At 39.9% G+C, this 20,776-nt stretch overlaps 2 annotated features.

The window, feature by feature from the left end:
• Positions 683-1,882: an enhancer, noted in NCBI's record as "P300/CBP strongly-dependent group 1 enhancer chr20:6571340-6572539 (GRCh37/hg19 assembly coordinates)". NCBI's record gives its function as "activates an origin of replication core promoter dependent on BRD2, BRD4, P300/CBP, MED14 and CDK7 cofactors, with strong dependence on P300/CBP, by STARR-seq in HCT116 cells {active_cell/tissue: HCT116}" and the evidence as "EXISTENCE:reporter gene assay evidence [ECO:0000049][PMID:35650434]".
• Positions 5,772-6,066: a silencer, noted in NCBI's record as "tiled region #6314; K562 Repressive non-DNase unmatched - State 24:Quies". NCBI's record gives its function as "represses a minimal TATA promoter and a strong SV40 promoter by Sharpr-MPRA in K562 cells {active_cell/tissue: K562}" and the evidence as "EXISTENCE:reporter gene assay evidence [ECO:0000049][PMID:27701403]".

Here is a 20,776-nt window from a genome sequence, read left to right on the forward strand (position 1 = left end):
AATGGGTCCCAAGTCTGGCTATTCAGAATTATCTAGAGGTCATTTAAAAATACAAATCATCTGGTGCACTTTCAGATTTGTTGATTTAATATAAATCTAGACTCAGACCTAGGAATCTGTAGTTTAAGTAGCTTCCTGGATATGTTGATGCACACTCAGGAATAGTCTAGATAGTACAAAATAGTGCAAAATAAATTTCAAAATCAGACTTTTCCTGAAAATATGAACAAAAGTTTTGAAAGATTCTTAAAGCAAATACAGTAGAGCTTTGGATTATCAGGTTTTTTCATTGTGTCTCCAAGCAAAGTTTTATAAATGCTAACTTTCCAAAAACTTAGGCAAGTTTATTTCAGTAATAATGTTTATGAGTTTATGAGCAATCTGATATGATTTGGCTCAGTGTCCCCACTCAAATCTCATCTTGAATTATACTCCCATAATTCCCATGTGTTGTGGGAGGAACCTGATGGGAGATAATTTGAATCATGGGGGTGGTTTTTCCCACACTGTTCTTGTGGTAGTGAATAAGTCTCACAAGATCTGATGGTTTTATCAGGAGTTTCCGCTTTTGCATCTGCCTCATTTTCCCTTGCCGCCACCATGTAAGAAGTGCCATGATTTTGAGGCCTCCCCAGCCATGTGGAACTGTAAGTCCAATTAAACCTCTTTTTCCTCCTACTCTCAGGCATGTCTTTTTCAGCAGCACGAAAATGGACTAATACATAGTCCTTTTGCTTATTCCAAACAAAGTTGTAGTATGAATTAGAAACATTGATAATATGCTCTTAATTGAGAATACGCCTACAGGGCCACAAACTCAGACATGAAATGTCTGAGTTACTCCATTAATGTCCATCACCTGAGGCTCTGTGACCACAGCCCAGTAGTGCTCTTATCAGATGCTGCCTGGTAATGAGAGTATTTCTGACCTAGTACAAAGAAAGAGCATATAAACATTCAGGGCTCCCACCTCTGAACAGTGCACAGGGAATTTTCACAGGAAACTCCCATGCCTATAAATTCGGTTAACATGTAAAAACCCCACTGTATTAATGGGAGACAGTCAGTAGAATGGAATGCTGATTGACTGGCATATGTGGGACAAAAATTCTGCTCCAAATATAAGCACCTGTAGATGCCCTTCCCCTCTCTCCCCTGCCTTATCTCACTTGACAAAAACTGTTTAGATGAGATGTATTTCCCAGGGCTTATGAATCAGTTGCAGTTAATGGCTCCAGGACAATTGGTGACTTTTATCTTCAGGAAATCCCAGTACTTAGAAAATGACCGTCAGCCGTGACTATCATGCCAAACAACTTTTCTCCCTCTATTTATACCAGGTGATTGAACAAAAAAAGGTAAGGGGTGTGGGGGAGGGCATAGGCTGGAGCTCTTGCCCTGGTCTGCACTATTGAGTCATCACCATAACATGCCAAATTACTCAAATAAGTCTGGTCATGTTCACATTCAGCAGTAAGAAGGATACTCTGTATGACTCGCACGAGGACATGAAATGCCAGCGGGATCCATATAATCAACGTCTTGGCTTGTGCCAAGAAGGGTGGGTGGAGTCGTGTGCCACATGCAAGGAATTCCTAAATGTTTACTCTAATTTGCTGCCTAGTTATATTTGACTTCTGTGGGTTGGCACAGCAACCATTCTATATAATTCTGGCTCTTCTGATTGTTAGAGGAAGAGTCTGGGGCTCTTAAGCTAAAGTTTAAAAAACAGTTGTTTGGAGTCATCGTTCCTTCTCCGTTAGAGTAATTGTTGAGCATAGTGTTGTGGTTACTCCCCAGGTTCCAGAGAAAGATGGGTTTAGATTTCAGTTCTGGTTCTTACTCCGGAAATGTGCCTGACTTCTCCATGTTTCTGCTTCCTTTCTTATTTCCATAATGGGGATAATAACAGTGCCTGCTTCATGAGGATATTGGGAAGACTAAGTTAATGTGCGTTGAGTACTTAGCATGAAACCTGGCATATAGTAAGCACTCAATAAATGTGATTGGGTTAGAAGCAGGTATAATGTATTATTTTGGGTTGGGTATGTGTGGATCTTTCTGGATGGTCTGTTTTTTCAAACCCTCATGTAGAAGTTACCTTCTCTACCCAATAGTCAACAGAAGCCAAGACTCATGAGGTTCATTTTATGCTGTGAACCCATGAAATTGTATGACGTTAAGGGTTGCTCTGGCCCTGTTCAGAAGCTCCACCAATGGCAAAATACCTTTAACAATATGATACTGTATCCTGAAATAAAGACCTGCAAAATACGATTTGACTTCTGTGCTCTGTGAAACCATGCTCAGTGCTTTCTCTCTCCTAGACTCGTGCCTCTCAAACTTGGATGTGCATAGGAATCACCTGGGGTCTTTTTAAGATACAGATTATGATGCAGGAAGTCTGGGTGGAGCTTGAGACTCTGTATTTCTAACAAGCTACTCAGGGATGCAAACTCTGTTCTTCCCTGGACTACACTTTGAATAGTGAGGTTTTGGCTGTTTGGCTGGATCTGATGCAGGGCCCTGATCCCATTACCATGGGGAAGGCAAGAGTCTCTGGCAGAGTGACACTAAACCAGTGCCCATTTTATAGGTAATTTCATGTGTGTGTGGTAGGAACAGAGGGAGGAGATGGAAAATTTAAGAGAGTGGTTTCAACCCCAGCTGCATATTAGAATCACTTGGTGAGCTTTAAAAAAAGTACTCTAGAATCCACATGAACCTATTTGAATGAAAAAACAAAACAAAACTCAAGGTGGGGGGAGCTGGTTCAAGCATTTTAAGAAACACTCCACGTGATCGTAACCTGCAGCCCAAGATGAGTACCACTGTTCTAAAATAGTGGTTCTCCAATGTTAAAATGTCTCAGAATCACCTAGAGGGCTTCTTAAATAAAGACTGCTGATCCCCACACCCAGAATTTCTGATTCAGTAAGTCTGCTGAGAGGCCTGAGAATTTTTTTTTTTTTTTCTTGCTTGCTTGCTTTCTTTTTTTTTTTTTTTTTTTTTAAGAGATAGAGTCTCATTCTTGCCCAAGCTGGCCTTCAACTTCCGGGCTCAAGCAATCCTCTCACTTCAGCCTCCCAGGAAGTTGGGTCTACAGGCATGCACAAGCACACCCAGCAATGCATTTCTAACAAGTCTTTAGGTGAAACTAATGCTGCTGATCTGTGGGCCACACATTCAGAACTACTGAACTATTATATAGAAAGTAATTTATTCATTCATTTATTCAAGTGTTTGCAGAACCCTTACAATGTGGCAGGAAGGATTTTAGATGCTGGGAATATAACAGTGAATAAGGCATGGTTCTTACCAGCTTAGAAATGGGGTGCACCAACTAATAAGCAGGTAGCACTGGACACATTCAGAAATACATAGGAGAGGCACCAATCTCAGGAAGTGATGTCCAGGGGGATACCTTAATGGTAAGTCAGAATTCATCACAAGGTAAGCTATTGTTGGGGGAGCAGCACAGGACAAGAGCGACTAAGGCAGAAGACCACATTCACATGGAGTGCAATCCCAAGTTCGTCTGAGCTCAGCTGTGGAGACTTGGATGCTGGGAAGGGAAGGAGGAAGAGTGGGACTTTTAGACAGGCACAGCTGGAAAGATCAGCAGGAGCCAGATCACGAAGAACATGTACCATTCAAACTTTATCCCAGGGACAGCAGAGCACCAGCGAAAGGTTTTAAGTAGGAAAGAAAATACTATTCTGGCCACAAGATGAAAAATAGAATGTAATTGAGAAAGGGAGACTGGTAGGTGGAAGAAAGGCAAGGCTATTGTCATTTTAAGATGTTTACTTGCAAATTGTCTTAATGGTCTTTTTCTTAGACAACCAGATGTCAATCTGGCATCTTAGTGTTTGAAGTCTGGAATGGGCACAGGAGAGTAGAGTAAGAAGAATGGAGTCTTCCCATGATGGTGGGTGAAGAGGGGTGGGATAGAGTAGCCTCCTCAAGGGATTGATGCTTGGTCCAGAATCAGAGGTGACCATAAGAATTTAGGATTTATCTGAAACCTTATAAGCCATTTCAACAAATATTTAGCAATAAACTTTGTCCAATTCTGTAATCTCAAGAAAGTCATCTGAGCTTAAAAACAATTGGCTGAGATGGATGTGCATTGCAGCTATTTAGGAATGTGGTAATTAGAATATTGAAGGTGTTATCTGCCCATCAGTTGGGCAGTCATGGCCTGTCCTAATGCCAATCTCACTCTCTAGTCAGAACTAATGCTATTTCTGAGCCTCTTCTCAATATAATCAAAGAGATATGGGGCTGAAGGGGTAATGGAGGTTACCTTGTCTTCCTTCGTCATCTCAGGAAGAAATAAGGGCAGTGTACACATCTCCCTAAGTGTGGAAAACTATGACGACACCGGGTCTTTCTGACGTTTGTGTGGATTCACAAACTCCCAAAGCACCATATTATTTTTAAATTAGAAATTTCTGAACAGACAGAGGATTCAGAGCTCTCACAGCTAAATGCTAAGGAAATATTTATTGATGTCAGGATACTTTAAATTATGGCCTTCTCTCTCCTAAAATATTTCCCAGCCGTCAAATTCGCCACCAAAGGAAATCCTTTGGCATTTCTAATGCCCTCTCTACTCCTAGAAGAATTTTGAGCTGCTTTTGGGGACAAAGATGTTCTACTTTTTTTTTTTTTTTAACAATTGGAAAGATAGGTGCATGTGTTGTTTTATTGATTTATTTAGACTATACATACTTGGTTTATACGTTACCTTATTTAGGATTCACAGCAATGCCGTGGGGTAGGTTTTCATCATTTAAATTTTACAAAAGAGAAAATAACATTTGTAAAAGTCTGGCGTTCAAGATGGCACAGGCGGTATGTCAAAACACCAGGGCCAGGTCTGTCTGACATGAAACCTTATCAGTAAGTTTAAAGAATTTAAGGTAAGAAGGTCACTCTTCTTGGAGAAAACGAAAACTAAATTCAGCAGTTATCTCAGGCTCTTCAATTGAGAGAAAAGTGAAACTTGGACTATGGTGAGGAGCTGCAACTTGCCGCAAGTTCAGATCTGTTAAGGCAGTACTTCTCTGTGCTTTGGATCTCACTTGTGATCTTTATTTTAGTCACATGGAATGGTGCCTTAAAAGGCTACACCCAAATCGAATTCCCCTCAAAGTGGCCTGGAGTACCTCCTGAGGTTAAAAAGTCACCCGAAAGAGAACTGAGCACAGAGGAAATAATCACTATTCCTCTTTTAGCCTTGCTGAAAGTATGGAGGCTATCTTCCCTTGTCAATCTTCTCACCTTAGAGACACACACCTTTGTTTTTTGCCGGGATTCCTCATTCTCACTGGGCCCATGGGGTTTAAAGTGACTGTGTTGTTCACAACCTGAGCAGTAGGTGTTTGAATAACCACACACTGGGCAGTTTCTTATGTATTTCTTCCCACTGCATTCAACCCAATGTCATTTGGCAAGTATATATGATGCATTGTTGGATAACGTTGGAAGCTTAAACTCAAATGGGTAAAAAGGCAACTACCTTGTCTTCTGTCAGATTCCCAGTGCTTTTTAGCTCCTTCCTACTCAAAATGTGGCTCATGGGCATGACATTGGCATCAGCTGGGAGCTTATTAGAAGCACAGAAATGCAGAGTCTCAGGATCCACCGCTACTTGTATACACTACGTGTATTTTAACAAGGTCTCCCCACCCCATAATTCAGGCAGAAAGTTTGAGAAGTCTTGAAAACTGTTGTTAGGAGGCAGATCTCTCATCCTCTCTAGGGTGCACAGGCTACAAGAAGGAGCCTTGGCAACAACCTCCAAAGACACAATTCCTTTCAGAGCTTGTTTCCTGTTTGATAACTCACCAAATCTCTAAAACTGGAATGTGAAGCGAGGGTTCAGCCAAGGAACTGGGTGAGAGTTAATGGATCAATCTGCTCTCCCCCGTCAGTGCTTTTACCGCTGACTTCTGGAATGTGTTTGATGAAAAGAAAGCAACTTCTTCAGACAGAAGATACTGATGCAGCCTGCTGAGGTTAGGACCTACAGGAACAATACACCAATGTTATCAGAGCTTCGTTTGCCTCCAACTTCAGTCCAAAACTGACAACGGGAGGGAAAGCATTTTTTAAAGCCGTTGCTGTCAGCTGCCATTATTATAAATAGCAATTGCTCTGCTTCTCCCTGGGGGAATGTAGGCATCATTGTTTGGTTTTTGTTTAGATTAAGAGGTTTTTTCCAATAGCTTTTTACAACTAGATCTGAAAAATGAAACTAGTAGCACAGTGATGCTGCTTCCATTTATCATTCCAGAAGCTTGGATATGTTGAAAGTCAAAACCAGAGAAGGAGGTTCCTGCTTCTTTCCTATCATCAGGTTTGAGTGCCCTTTCTCAATGAACAATTAACAAAGAAGTCAGCTCTATTTAATGTTCTGTGTTCACTCCAGAATTTCAGGAAAGTAAGAAGCAAGGAGAGTCAAAAGAATCCTAAGTCACTGATGTCTTCATCAACCCAATCATCAGTGACCTCTAACATTAGCTGATTTTCTCAATAAACATTGTTTATCTTTCTCACTATGGTTAAATGAGATTATGAATACAAACCAAATCCTCTGAGTCTAGATTTTGAAATGTGGCCATAAGGGCCAAGACTGACTGATGGTTTGTAGGTATATGAGGGTAAAATTAGATCTGCTGGCTCCATCTGAAAGAGGCAATTTTGAGAGAAAATTATAGTGGCAGGTACAGGACAAGGCTTTAAGCTTAATAATGCCGCCTTTCCATTATAAAGATGTACTCAGGACCCATTCACGGGTACTGTCTACCTTTTGAGTTGTATTTCTGGGAGTAGTCAATTTCTGGGAATTGGATCGATTGACCTGCTTTTTACCAGATTCTCTCCTTTGATAGGGTTGGCAAGCATTACAAGGTGGCTGAAGTCAGTTAGTTAGCAAACCCACCTGGGGTTTACAAAGATACTTTTTACTTCGTTAGCACTAGGAAACGGAGCCAACCAACAGCCAAGGTCACGGAGTTTGTACACCTGGCTTGGAAAAACGAGCCAATCAGAATTAATCAAAACTGAAGTGCAAATGACTATCCTGAAGAAATGGAACATCTAGTGAAATTGGCATGCTGGGGCCTAAAGAAAAACCACCTGAAAGACTTTAGCTCACCAAGGGACCCTGTTGGCTCTCAGAAGGAATTTCAGACTTTCCCACTAGCTAAGCCCATTAATATCAAGAGCTTTATTAGATTAACTGGACTCTGGTAGCATTTTCAAGGCTCAGATTCCACAGCCTTTGTCAATAACAGTTTCCGCTGTGAAAATAGTTTATTTTTGTGTTTCTTCAACTCCATAGATAAAGTTGATCCTCAGAAGGGTGGGGTGCTTGTGAAGGAGTAGACACACAACTCCCTGGGGGACTCTTCCATCGTGGGACTCTTCCTGGCCATGCTTGGGAACACAGACATGCCTTTATGCAAAGAAAGGGTTCCACTAGAAGCACACCTGATTATACTCAACCTGGATCCAAAGAGCCCTGTGCCATGTCAAAGGAAAATGTTCTATCATAAATCTCCAGAAACAGAAAAGGTCAAAACCACTCTTGGTAATTAGCCTGCTGAAATACAGTGGCCCTGCTTTTTGTTTAACCTTTTAAGAAAAGGGCTGCACTCTCACGAGTCTCAACAAGCAGGCTTTAATTAGGCACATCCTCAACACTCCTACCCTCTGCTTAGCCCCTTCCCCCACCTGCAGTCCTAACAGAACATGCGTTTGGTTTGTTGCTTGAATCCCCTAACTTTGGATGGATTCATGTTTTCTTCTCAGTGCACTTTTTGTAGTCCTATTTTAAGTCCATGGAACCGTATCACTTTGCAGAATAAAAATAAGCTATATATAGACTGACCTCCAAAAAAGGGTGTCATGTTAAACAACTGGAAAAAATCAGCAGGCATGCCATGCACCAGCAGTTTTGTTTGTTTGTTTGTTTGTTTGTTCTAAATTCTGGCCAAGTTAGCAATAAGCGTGCAAATGTTCTTGTTAATGTTACTAGGTAAAATGCTTTACTGCAATAGCCACTAGCTATGTGAGCACTTGAGGTCTAGTTTGAACTGAGGTAAGATATATGTACAAAATATTCATTGGAGTTTGAAGACTTATTATAAGGGAAAGGATGTGGAAAGATCCATTAGTAATTTGGATATATTGGGTTAAATAAAAGGTATTAGTAAACTTGATTTTCCCTGTGCCTTTTGCTTTTTATACGGTGGCTATAAGAGATTTCAAAATTACAAATGTGGCTTGTATTGTGTATCTATTGGACAGTGCTGGTGTAGCAGATCAATTATTCCATGTATAGATAGAGAAAAATAAATGTCATATGTTTGATTTGGTTACTGCATGATTTATCACATAATTTTGTCCTATCTTGTATTATTATATATCTTTCTTGTTTCTTGATCATCTTCCAGCCATATTGGAAACTTTCAGAAGATAAATATAAAATCTTAAACTTATTCTGCAGCCCATATTGTACCTAGGACAGTGCTAGGCACATGATAAGTGTTTAATCAATGTTTGTTAATGGAGTAAAACTCGATGGTAGGACATTTTCAAAAGATTTCTTTGGGGGCTAGTCTGAGAGTTAGAACACAGGTTAGCCACTGAATCTGATGGAATATGTCTCACTATCCTTGATAATTGTTCTGGCCAATGAGCTGTGAGTAAAAGTAACACATCACTTTTGAGCTGAAAATTAACTTCAGAGTGTGATCTTTTGTTCTCTGCCATAGTGTTTAATTATCTTTTTTTTTTTTTTTTTTTTTTTTTTTTTTTTTTTTTTTGAGGCAGAGTCTCACTCTGTTGCCAGGCTGGAGTGCAGTGGTATGATTTCGGCTCACTGCAACCTCTGCCTCCCGGGTTCAAGTGATTCTCCTGCCTCAGCCTCCCGAGTAGCTGGGACTAAAGGCCCGCACCAAAAGACCCAGCTCATGTCTGTAATCCCAGCACTTTGGGAGGCCGAGGCGGGCGGATCACGAGGTCAAGAGATCAAGACCATCCTGGCCAACATGGTGAAACCCTGACTCTACTAAGAATACAAAAATATAATTATCTTTTATATAGAGACTACTCCTGTTAGCTGTTGTCTCCAAGTGACCTGCAATAGACATGCAGCCAAGCAAGAGACACTCCTTTGTTGTTTTCAGCCACTGAAGCTCAGAAATTCTTTGTCGTGGCTACACAACCTCGCTTCTGCCAACTGATGTAGCATGGCTATTTGACTACAGATTGGCTTCCCAGCTGTGGCTCTTCCTTTGCAAAGCTCATATTTTACTAACATTTAGTCTCAATAACCAAAAACAAAGAGGATCAGTATTATACTCACCTCTTGAATCAACGGTGATCTTTAATTACAATGTCTGGAGTCAGAGTGTCTGCCATTAAAACATTTAATTTTTAGCAGTAGTAACGAGTTAAGAATGCTGATCAAACTGCTTCAGGTAGCTTCCCCTTTGAGGAGAGGAGGGTAACTGTAAATGAAGCAGCACATTTTAAAGGGCATTGCTGAAATCTTCCTTGAGCAGCACCAACTGGTATTTGTTGATCACTGGACTCCCTTTAGCTGCTGTTTCTGAGAACAACCTGCCTCCTGCCTTACCCCATTGAGCTGATTTTACTAGGACACAGGACCATCATGAGGGGTCCTTGGTAAAGGAGCATGGTTGAGGGATTACTGAGGAGGGGAGAAGTAGAGGAGAAAAGGGAAAATCCCAGTGAGGTGGCCCCAGGCAAAGATCGAAAAAAACTGAAGTGAATCTAATCATTTGGCAGGGCAATCCAAGTCCTGAGCTTTAAGACGACACTTCTCACGGAGAGAGAAACTCCAGCTTGCAGTTCTCAGACATGGCCTTGTTATTGTTTTACTTCTAAATAAAACACTTGTTGTCTCTAAGTATTTCAATTCCTGTGCCTTATCTCAATTTGTAGGAGAGTTCCATTCAGAGCACCCATGAAACAGAAGATGAATGAATCATTTTACTGCAGACTGGAATAGGGCAGTGTGGCTAATGAGCTGTACGTTTAGTCTTAGAAGGCCCTGGGATGCCTCACACTGGAGGCATCATCTAAGTCCTACTGTCCCTGGAGACTAAGTGAGTGGTCACTCTGTTACCAGACAAAAGTGCAGACCCTTCTTTGGACTTAAACACAGAGCTAGTATGACTGTATATTAAGGGATAAATTTCAGACTTTGTATGTCTTTTCCTGGATGAAACATTGGAAACATTGAAACATTGGAGAGTAACAGAGAGAATGGGGAAATCTTTGGTTATTCTGGGACTACAGTCTCCTTCAGGCTAAGTGTTAAGTAGGCCAAGAATTGAGTTGCTTCCTCCCCTAGTCAGTATCCTGCTTGCGTGAAGTTCGCTTCTCTAGAAACACAGTCTAAGACAGAAATTCAGATACACATGATTTACTCTCAAGAGGAGGAGAGAAAAGCAGAAGGGGGTAGGGATAGGAGATAAGCCAGGATGTGGTCCAGCTGTGACCCAGCTTTGGCCTGACCTCATGGGGAGGAGAGAAACATGCATTATACTACAGATGTGGTTCCACCAGGAAGCAAAGATGCTGTTCTTTTATAATCCTGTCTCAGTCAATCATTAGCTGTGGGCTGCCCTAGGTAGGGGGCATCATCTCTTAGGCAAGGTGGCTCCCGGTGGTTCATGACAATTCTCTGGAGAAGTGGGGATAAGAAGTAGTGGGTAAGCCATTAGCAGCCAACACTCACTGCAGCCAGGGGATGGGTGCCTCTGACCTGTACAGGGATGTGGGCAGAGAACCCACAACACCCACTGCCTTGCTGCAGTTATTCCTGTATCCATGCTCATCGTTTTTCAGGTCCCGGTATCCTATGCTTCCTTATCCCCTACTTTCTAATTTTACAGTTCACTAATCTAAAAATCAAGCTCCAGCTGTCTGACCTCTAAAATGAGAGAGTGGTCTCACTATTCTCTCAAGCCCCTTTCAACTTCATGAGTCTACTGTGTCATCCTATTGTAACGAAAGTCGACCCTTTTTAAAAAATAATCAATGGCTTTCTGTAGAGAGAATGTCAACCCCAGTGACTGATATCAAGGTGGAAGTTTCAGAGCATCTGATCAGCAGTTAGGTCTAGAAAGAGCTGGGTCTAGAAAGACTCTGGCTAGTGCTGCTCCATCACACCTTGAGAATTGTTGCCGATATTGATGTTTGAGAGGGCTTACCTGCTTAGGCACCTGCGCACCATGTGATCTCTTCTCTTCTCGTGCTATGGTGAGCCTAGAATTTGAGGAAACCTGGAAAGTTGCATCCAGGGAAGACTGAAGTCAGGGGATACAGCCAATTATACTCTACTTCCCTTAGCATGTCCTGTAGTAGCAGGAGCAAACCGTGCTTCCATCCATCTGCATCAGCTTTCTCTGATTATCTGTTTCCTTTTTAATCTGCTACCTTTGTCTTTCCATCTCCTCCGTCCACCTCCTTTCTCTTCCTCAGAAGCATGCAGTGCCACAATGGTTGAAACCCACTCTGTTATCCTTTCACTGGACAGTGACTTCCAAATGGTGGGGGACTGTCTAAATAGTCTAGAACTTGCCAAATGCAGATATCCCTGGAGTAAGCCAGCTGACTGACTGGCTTAGAGAGGAGATGCCAATACACTTCCTCATTAGGATAGACTGTACTGCATGAAGCAGGCTGGATTCTGGAATCAGGCAGTTGGGTTTAAATCCAGACCTTGCCATTTATTAGCTGTGTGATCTTGAAAAAGTTACTTAGCCTCTCTTCTGCCTTCAGTTTCCTGAAAGTTTCTCATAAGTCTTGAATCTTCAGATTCAGTGGGTACATGTTGTCCAAGACAAAAATGACATAACAAACACCAAGATAAATCCTAGTGAAGCTGTTAAAACACAAGTATTAAGGAAATACTTTAATGGGCTTCTAGACAGAAGAAGTGGTCACTAATTGGGAGGATATTTGATTACTCTACATAGAAAACAATGCCAGAAGACAGCAGAACAATGTCCATGGGGTTCTGAGGAAAAGTGTGACCTGAGAATTTTACATACACACACACACGCACAGAGACACACGCACATGGGCACGCGTGCGTGCACACAGCCACACACGCACACCTACAGAGAAACCAAGTCGTCCCTTAAGCATGAAGTCGACATTTTAAAATATGCAATAATTGAAAAACTAGAACACCCAAGAGCTCTTGAAAGAAAACCATTGACATATTTAATTCAGCCAATGAATCAAAGAATCAATATATATTTTTAAAGCCTCAGAAATGGAGCATCCATGAGAAAATGCTGGTGATGGTGAGCGTTGAGGTTATTTAAATACAGAAATAAAACTGAACGACTCTTGAAATTACTGTGACAGAACAGAATGTAAGTGTCATAAAAACCAAATATAAAAAAAGAATACACATAATTTAAAAAGGATGCTAGTTTCCACATTTTTCACAAAGAAGAGTCAATAGATACTATCTAACACTTAATGTTTTTCACATTTTTTCCTTTAGAGGATAATTTAAGAATTCATTTTATGAAGAAATATTCTTTTTCTGAAGTTGAATAGTTCCTTAGCTTTCTTTTTGTCCCCTTTATATTCAAGAAAATCTATTTAAACCTTTTATTTCAAAATGCAGTCATAGCATGTTCTCATTTTTCTATGCATTTATTAACTGATTTATCAATCTGTCCTCCATCCTTCCTTCCTGCCATCCATTCATCCACTTATCCATTCATCCTTCTGCCTGTATGTAAATATAGAAAATTGTCTGTGATGAAGATCTTCAAATATTGGTAACCATTGTTCCTGGGTGAAAATGTTTTTAGGTAACTTTTAATTGTATCTGTCCTTTTAACTGTCTTGAATGATTTACTATGAATGTACATCATTCTATTATAATAAAAACTGTAAAACATCACTTTCAAAAGTGAATAATGAAGAACTATATGGGCTAACACTGTTAACTGAAAAATGAGCATAGTAAAACCTCATCTTTGTAAAAGAGCGGATATAAATACGTGTAGATACCTAGACATTTTCTGGGAGATTCACAAGTAACAGATCACTGTGGTTATTTAAGAATAGGGGACAGTGAGACTGTATTAACAGGGAGACTTCCTTCTTTCTTTTTATTTTCCAAAATATATGCAACTTAATCATATTGTAATAATGATGGGAAATAAATACTAAAAGAAAAAAAGAAATGGCTAAAGACCATCTTTGGATGGGTACAAGAAGACTACTACAAACCTTTTGGTTTATTTCCTTGTGTGGTCCCCAAGGCTTCACCTTCAGAGCCAGTAGATTCTGCCAACCCCTACTCCAGAGGATGAGAAGAAGCCTGTGGCCAAGCAGCAGCACTGTTTCCGGAGCTCTCCTTTCTTTTTTCTTTTTTTGCCTTACATGATCTTTTTAGCCTTGAAATCAATTTCTTGTTTATATTAATCCTTCATGCAGGATATGGTTTTACCTTTCATTTCTTACAACATTTCAGGCCAGTAGTATGTAGGAAAGACATAAGACTAAAGTAAGCCTAGAAGCAGAGACATAACTAGCAAACGCAATGATAGATAACAATGGATGTTTTGATGCTAGGGAGGAGTGGGGACTGCGATGTCTAGAGGGGCAGTCACACTCTGCTGTGACATTTGCTGCTATGTCAGAACTTGGCACAGTGTGGCATGAGACTCTGGAGAAGTTAGGAATTTAGATTTATAAGCGGGTTTTCTCCATTTTAAAATCCTATGAAATTAATTCAAATGGAAAAACAAAAAAGGCATTGAGAAGACCACTGAAAACATCTGGCCAGGCTGGATTTGGACTGCAGGCTGCTATTTTTTTACTTCTACTGTAGCTTACAAAGGGTGTGCATTTGAGCTTCAGCAGGAATTGTTGCATGGCATACCTGCTCATCATAGATAGGTATGACCAGTTGCTGTGTGGGCTTTAAATTATGTGGCCCTAGAGAAGGGTGTTTCTGCATCTTACTGCCTTCTAGTGCACTGGAAACCTTTTCTTAAGAAATAGAAGGCGGAATAGAAATAGAGAGTGTCCACAGAGGAGGTGACATGCAGCATCACCTGTGGGTCAGGATCATAACATTTTTCAGGCTCCTTGGATGAGAGCAGGGCTGAATTTTGGTTGCAGGAAACAAACCCCAGCAAAGTCTACCTGTGGGAGCCCAGCAAAAGAAACTCAGTCCATTCTTCTTTCCTGGGGATTTGACATAGTCCGAGGGAAAGTGTGGCAGTATGAGCTGAATTTGGCTTTGAAATCTGGGTGTTTTGACTCAAAACAGAAAAGAAATGATGAGTCAGGGTAACAAGAGTTGATGGAAAAAGGATGACCTTTTTGAGCTACACAAAATAAAAAGGCCCTTGACTGCTTGAGAAGAGGCAAGTAAATCAGGTGCTAGGATTCTAAGTCCAACCTCAAGTTTCCATAACATCAGAGTGAATCTAAACTCAAAGGCAGCCTTCAGAGAGTGCATAGGGCGAGTAAAACGAATAACAAACCCATCTCCTAAAATCCTTGATTTTGCAGCTTCAAGATTCCGTTCTCTCCCTGATGTGTATGCCACTATCGTGAATTGACAGGAACATGGGCTGTTTAATTTCTTTCTTTTCAAAATGCCCCCCTTTGCTTCCTGTCAGGCTAGTCCTACACTACGGAATCCATTCTTCTGCCTCTCTTTTTTTTAAATTCCTTTCAAGAGATAAGAACCCAGCATTAAAATGTAGGTGGCATAGCTTTGAATAGTAGTTGCCATTTTAACCTCTACTGGCCTACTTGTACCACCTAAAATGTGGCTTCTGCAACTACTCTAATTTATTGCATTCTTTTTCATAAAAAAACTTGGACATAGCAAGCAAGGTGTCAGCATACAAGGCAACAATGCATTGAGCCAAGATCTTACAATCTTATTACAAGATAAAGAGTAGAGTGCCTCTTGCTTAAGGATGTTCTGTAGATGGCCCCAAATGCTAAGAGCAATTTGATTAATAATCCCATCTGTTTTACTCCTTGAATTTGTTTCCAGGGAAAATGTGCCTTTGATCACTAGGCGCTGACGAGGGTATAACCTGGCCCGAGGTGTTTCCCTGGAGTGAAATATGCAGCACTTCTCAACTCCCAATTCCATTTAATTTATTGTTTGTTTTTGCTCAAGAAGAGCCTGTTTTTACAGCTGAACAGATTTGGAAGCTGGCTTGGGGTGTTTCATTTCCTTACATGAAGAGTTATAATGTAGGGGATGGTAACCAGCTGTTTCCACCTTCACTAAAGACAGAGCAAACAAGAATTACCCTTCACTGTAGCAAAAGAAACTTAGGTTAGTTATAAGAAGGAACTTCCTGAGAGTTAGCAAGGGAGGCTAAGAGTCTCCTCCCTTGAGGGCTCTTAGATGGGATTTTCTTATCTCTTTTTGGGATGGCTTATGTGAGACCAAGATTAATGACACTAGAATCAGCCAAATAACCTGTTTCTGTGCCTTCCAGTACTGTATTTCTGTGTATGATAACCATTACCTGGGTCTGTGCCTTGTGGATAGTTGGATGATTGGGGGTAAGATTTATTTATTTATTTATTATTTATTTATTTATTTATTTTAGAAGAAGGCTTGTTTTCCATTTGATTTGCAAGTAAATGCCATAGCAGTGATGGGCTGAAGCCAGCTGGAGAGTTCACTGTTAAATGTTTAGGTTTAATTTTTTTTGGCAAGTCGGTTGTTATACACAGCTGCTATTAAAAAGTAAATCATATAAACTTAAAATTAATAAATTATATTAAAAACAAGGAAAAATACATAGAACTCACTACCCCTTAATAATTTCACTGCATTTTACTTTTATATATATGCTCCTAAGATTATTTACTTCTATTGTGTCTGTCTTACTCTCTTTTGTGCTGCTATTACAGAAAACCTGAGACTGGATCCATCCATCCTTCCTCCCTCCTTCCCTCTCTTTCTACCTCTTTCTCGCTCTCTCTTTCTTCCTTCCTTCCTCCCTCCCTCCCTCCCTCCTTCCCTCCCTCCCTTCCTCCCGCCCTCCTTCCCTTTTCCCTTCCCCCTTCCTCTTTCTTTCTCTTTCTTTCTTTCTTTCTCTTTCTTTCTTTCTTTCTTTCTTTCTTTCTTTCTTTCTTTCTTTCTTTCTTTTTCTTTCTTTCTTTCTCTCTCTTTCTCTTTCCTTCCTTCCTTCTTTCCTTCTTTTCTTCCTTTCTTCCTTTCTTTCTCTCTCTCTCTCTGTCTCTTTCTTTCTCTCTCCCTCCCTCCCTCCCTCTCTTTCTTCTTCGGAGTCTCACTCTGTTGCCCAGGCTGGATTGCAGTGGCAGGATCTTGGCTCACTGCAATCTCTGCCTCCCGGGTTCAGGTGATTCTCCTTGAGCAGAATCTCCTTCAGCCTCCCAAGCAACTGGGATTACAGGTGTGTGCCATTATGCCTGGCTAATTTTTTTGTATTTTTAGTAGAGATGGGGTTTCGCCACGTTGGCCAGGCTGGTCTCGAACGCCTGACCTCAGGTGATCCGCTGACCTCAGGTGATCCGCTCACCTCAGCCTTCCAAAGTGCTGGGATTACAGGTGTGAGCCACCACACCCAGCCTGAGACTGGATTGTTTATAAGGAAAAGAAATGTAGTCTCACAGTCTGGATGCTGGGAAATTTAAGGTCAAGTTGCCAGCATCTAGCGTCCTGCTTCTTGCTGAATCTTCCTTCATTCATATGGTGGCAGGCAGAAGAAGAAAAGAGGAAGTCTGTGTCCTCACATGACAGAAAAACAGAAGAGTGAGAACCCACTCCCACTCCTGCAAGCCTTTTTAATAGCGGCATTGACCTATTCGTGAGGGCAGAGCCTTCATGACCTAAAAACCTCCCATTAGGCCCCACCTCCCAGCACTGTTGCATTGGGGATTAAGTTTCCAATACATGAATTTCAGGGGACATATTTAGACCACAGCAGCATGTGTATGGTGGAAATAATATATACTAATGTGGCGCTGCACATCTCATTCCAATTCCACATTCAGTGGCATCATGTTGGTGGTTTGAAATCTGTTGTGTGAGGAACATTTACACTATAAAAATTGGAAGACTCTATAAACCAGGTTTTCCCCAGAGCCAGGAGTTAGACATTTATGAGACTACCTACATGGAAGAGAGTTGTGAGAGAGAAGGAAGTAAGGGAGGGAGGGAGGGAGAGAGAGAGGGAGAGAGAGAGAGAAAGAAAAGAGAAAAGAAAAGAAAGAAAGATGAGAGGGGAGGGGAGGGGGAGAGAGAGAGGGAAAGAAGAAAGAAGGGAAAGAAAAAGAAAGAGAGAAAGAGAAAAAGGAAAGAAAGAAGAGAGGGAAGGAGAGCGGGTGAGAGAGAGGGAAAGAAAGAGGAAAGAAGGAAGGAGGGAAGGAGAGAGAGAAGGAGAAAGAGAGGGAAGGAAGGAAGGAAGGAAGGAAGGGAGGGAAAGAAAAGAAAAGAGAAAAGAAAAGAAAAATATTGCCCTAGTGGCTTTTTTAAATACCTTCTCAATATTTTTTCAAAATCTTTTTGGGGAGTAAGTATTATAATAAAGGCCTTTTTGAAAAAGAAAATGTTCAGGATTTCTTAAGTCCAGAAACTCTTTTATCTTGAACTAAATTAGCTCAAGTAAAATCTGAATTGGTGGTAACAATTACGTATCAGTCCCTCTTTTACTTTACTACCCATTGTTAAGCCAATGCTGTCCAATAGAGATATAATATAGTCCACATATGTACTTTTAAATCTCCTAGTAGCTAAATTAAAAACAAAGTAACAACAAACAGGATAAGTTAATTTTAGTAATGTATCTTATTTAACCCAAATTTTCCAAAATTATTATTTCACTATATAATCAATATTAAAATGTTACTAAAGTGTGTTTTTTTTGTTTTTTGTTTTTTTTGGTAATGTGTCTTTTCTAATTTGGCATGTATTTTACATTCACCTCACATCTCAATCAGACTAGACACACTTCAAGTGCTCAATAGGCCATGTGGCTAGTGGCTGCCCTACTGGACAGTATATGTCTATATTCCCAGTGAAGAAGAGGCTGGGCCACAGCCATGGTCATTGCCCATGGAGACTTGCCCACTCTCAGTGCGCACAGACAGAATACATTGAGGTTATCTCACATTAGTGCTAGATGGGCCATGGAGTTCAGATTATCCCATTCTTAATTTGTAGATGTGGGGATGATTACATTTCCGGGAGGTGGTTGTCTTGTCCTAAGTCATACATTGGTATGCTCAATGGTTTCAACTGCATCCAAACTTTGGTTTCTGAACTGTGTAGTGCTTAAGGACCTGATGCATGAATCAAACTTTCAGCTATCGTATCTCCAAGGCTTCCTCATCTATTGGCTGAATAACTGGGCTAATTGTTAAATTTCTTGGTGCCTCAATTTCCTCATATATAAAATGAGAAAGAGTATAGTATCTACCTAACTGAGGTGTCCATATGATGATGTTCATTTCAAATACATTACAAAATGCTTAGAATAAAGCACAGAGTAAGTGTTCAATAAATGTTTGTTTGCTTTTGCACAGCAAAGGAAACAATCAACAAAGTGAAGGGACAACACACAGAATGGGACAAAATATTTGCAAACTCCCTATCTGACAAGGGATTAACAACCAGAATAAGGAGCTCAAACAACTCTATAGGAAAAACTCTAATCTGATTAAAAGTGAACAAAAGATTTAATACATATTTCTCAAAAGAAGACATACAAATGGCAAACAGCATATGAAAAGATGCTTAGCATCATTGATCATCAGAGAAATGCAAATCAGAACTATAATGAGATATTGTCTCATTTCAGTTAAAATGGCTTTTATCCAAAGGATAGGCAATAACAAATGCTGGTGAGGATGTGGAGAAAAGGGAATTCTCATACACTGTTGGTAGTAATATAAATTAGTACAGCCACTACGGAGAAGAGTTTGGAATTCCTCAAAAAACTTAACATAGAAGTACAATATGGCCCAGCAATCCTGTTGCTGGGTATATACCACCCAAAAAGGAAATCAATATATCAAACAGATATCTGCATGCCCATGTTTGTTGCAGCACTATTCACAATAGTTAAGATTTCAAAGCAAACTAAATGTCCATCAATAGATGAATAAATAAAAAAAAATGTGGTACATATACACACGGGAGTACTAATCAACCATGAACAAAGTAAGATCCCGTCACTTGCAACAACGGGGAAGAAACTGGAGGTCATTATGTTAAGTGAAATAAATCAGGCACAGAAAGGCAAACTTCACATGATCTCACTTACTTGTGGGAGCTAAAATAAAAACAATAAACTCATGGAGATAGAGACTAGAAGGATGGTCACCGGAGGCTGGGAAAGGTAGAAGGAGAGGGGTGAAAGTGATAATGGTTAATGGGTATAAAAAAATAGAAAGAATGAATAAGACCTAGCATTCGATAACACAGCAGGTTGGCTATAATCAATAATCATTTAATTGTGCATTTTATAATAACTAAGTATAACTGGATTGTTTGTAACACAAAAGATAAATGCTTGAGGAGGAGACAGGTACCCCATATTTCATGATGTGATTATTATGCATTGCATGCTTGTATCAAAGTATCTCATGTATCCCACAAATATATACACCTATAATGTACTGATAAAAATTAAAAATAAAAACATTTAAAAGTTCACTTGTATTGCTATAATATAAAGCAAACATTTAATGGTTTGAATGAAGAGAATACTAGTGACAGGAGTAAAGGGGATACTATTGAACAGTTCTCAACCTGAAAGTCCAAATTGCTTTATAATTACTTGTATAAACATTCGTATAAGAATGTAAAAGTTATGTGTCAGATTGCTATTTCTTGAGTATTTAGATAAGAGTTTTGCTTTCTGTTTAAAAGAGTTATCTCCTGCTGTCATTATTCTTACTGAAGTGGTAACTTTGTTTATATTTCTAATGAGACTTAATGCTGATTCATAATGATGTCAATTTATTTAAACTTATTTGAATTTCTAAAATTTGGAATTCTAAAAGATTTTGGAAGTAGGCTGCCACTACTCCCTCCATCCCACCTTCCAAGTACCCGTGAGATGCATGCATTAAAACTCAATTTCCACTCTACATTGACAAGAGAATTTGAAAAGAAAATTGTTAGACAAATATATGTATACATATATACATATATACACACACACACAGATTTATAACATTCGTTCATGTTTACTGAAGGTTTTTAGGATTTAGTAACTAACTTATGCTTCTCAAGGCAATTTTCATGCTGCTTTGTAGTGTCCATGTGGACCATTCTTTATTTGATCAACACAAGCTTTGGCATGCTTTAAAGGAGCAGTAGTTAAGGCAGTTATGCTGGAATTTCTTTAGAAGTGGAGATGGCGTTTTCATTACCCAGACGGGTGTTATAATTAATGAGAACAAATACCACTGGGGTAAAATTATGATGAGACTAAAATTTTAAATTCTGTTGGCATTTTAATATTAATATAATTTTTCTCCTAATGTGTATTTCACACATGGCCAGGGAATTATTGAAAACATTATTTAATTTAATCAAAAATATTTAATTCCTAAAGTACATTCAGGAGTGCTCATGGTGCACTTAGAGAATACTTTTTGAAATTTCTATAATGCAGTCTTTACATTACATACCTTTAAATGTCTGGGTGATACTAGCCATGAGAAAGTAGGTTAACAATATAAA

This window comes from Homo sapiens, chromosome 20 (genome assembly GCF_000001405.40).
Source record: "Homo sapiens chromosome 20, GRCh38.p14 Primary Assembly".
NCBI lineage: Eukaryota > Metazoa > Chordata > Mammalia > Primates > Hominidae > Homo > Homo sapiens.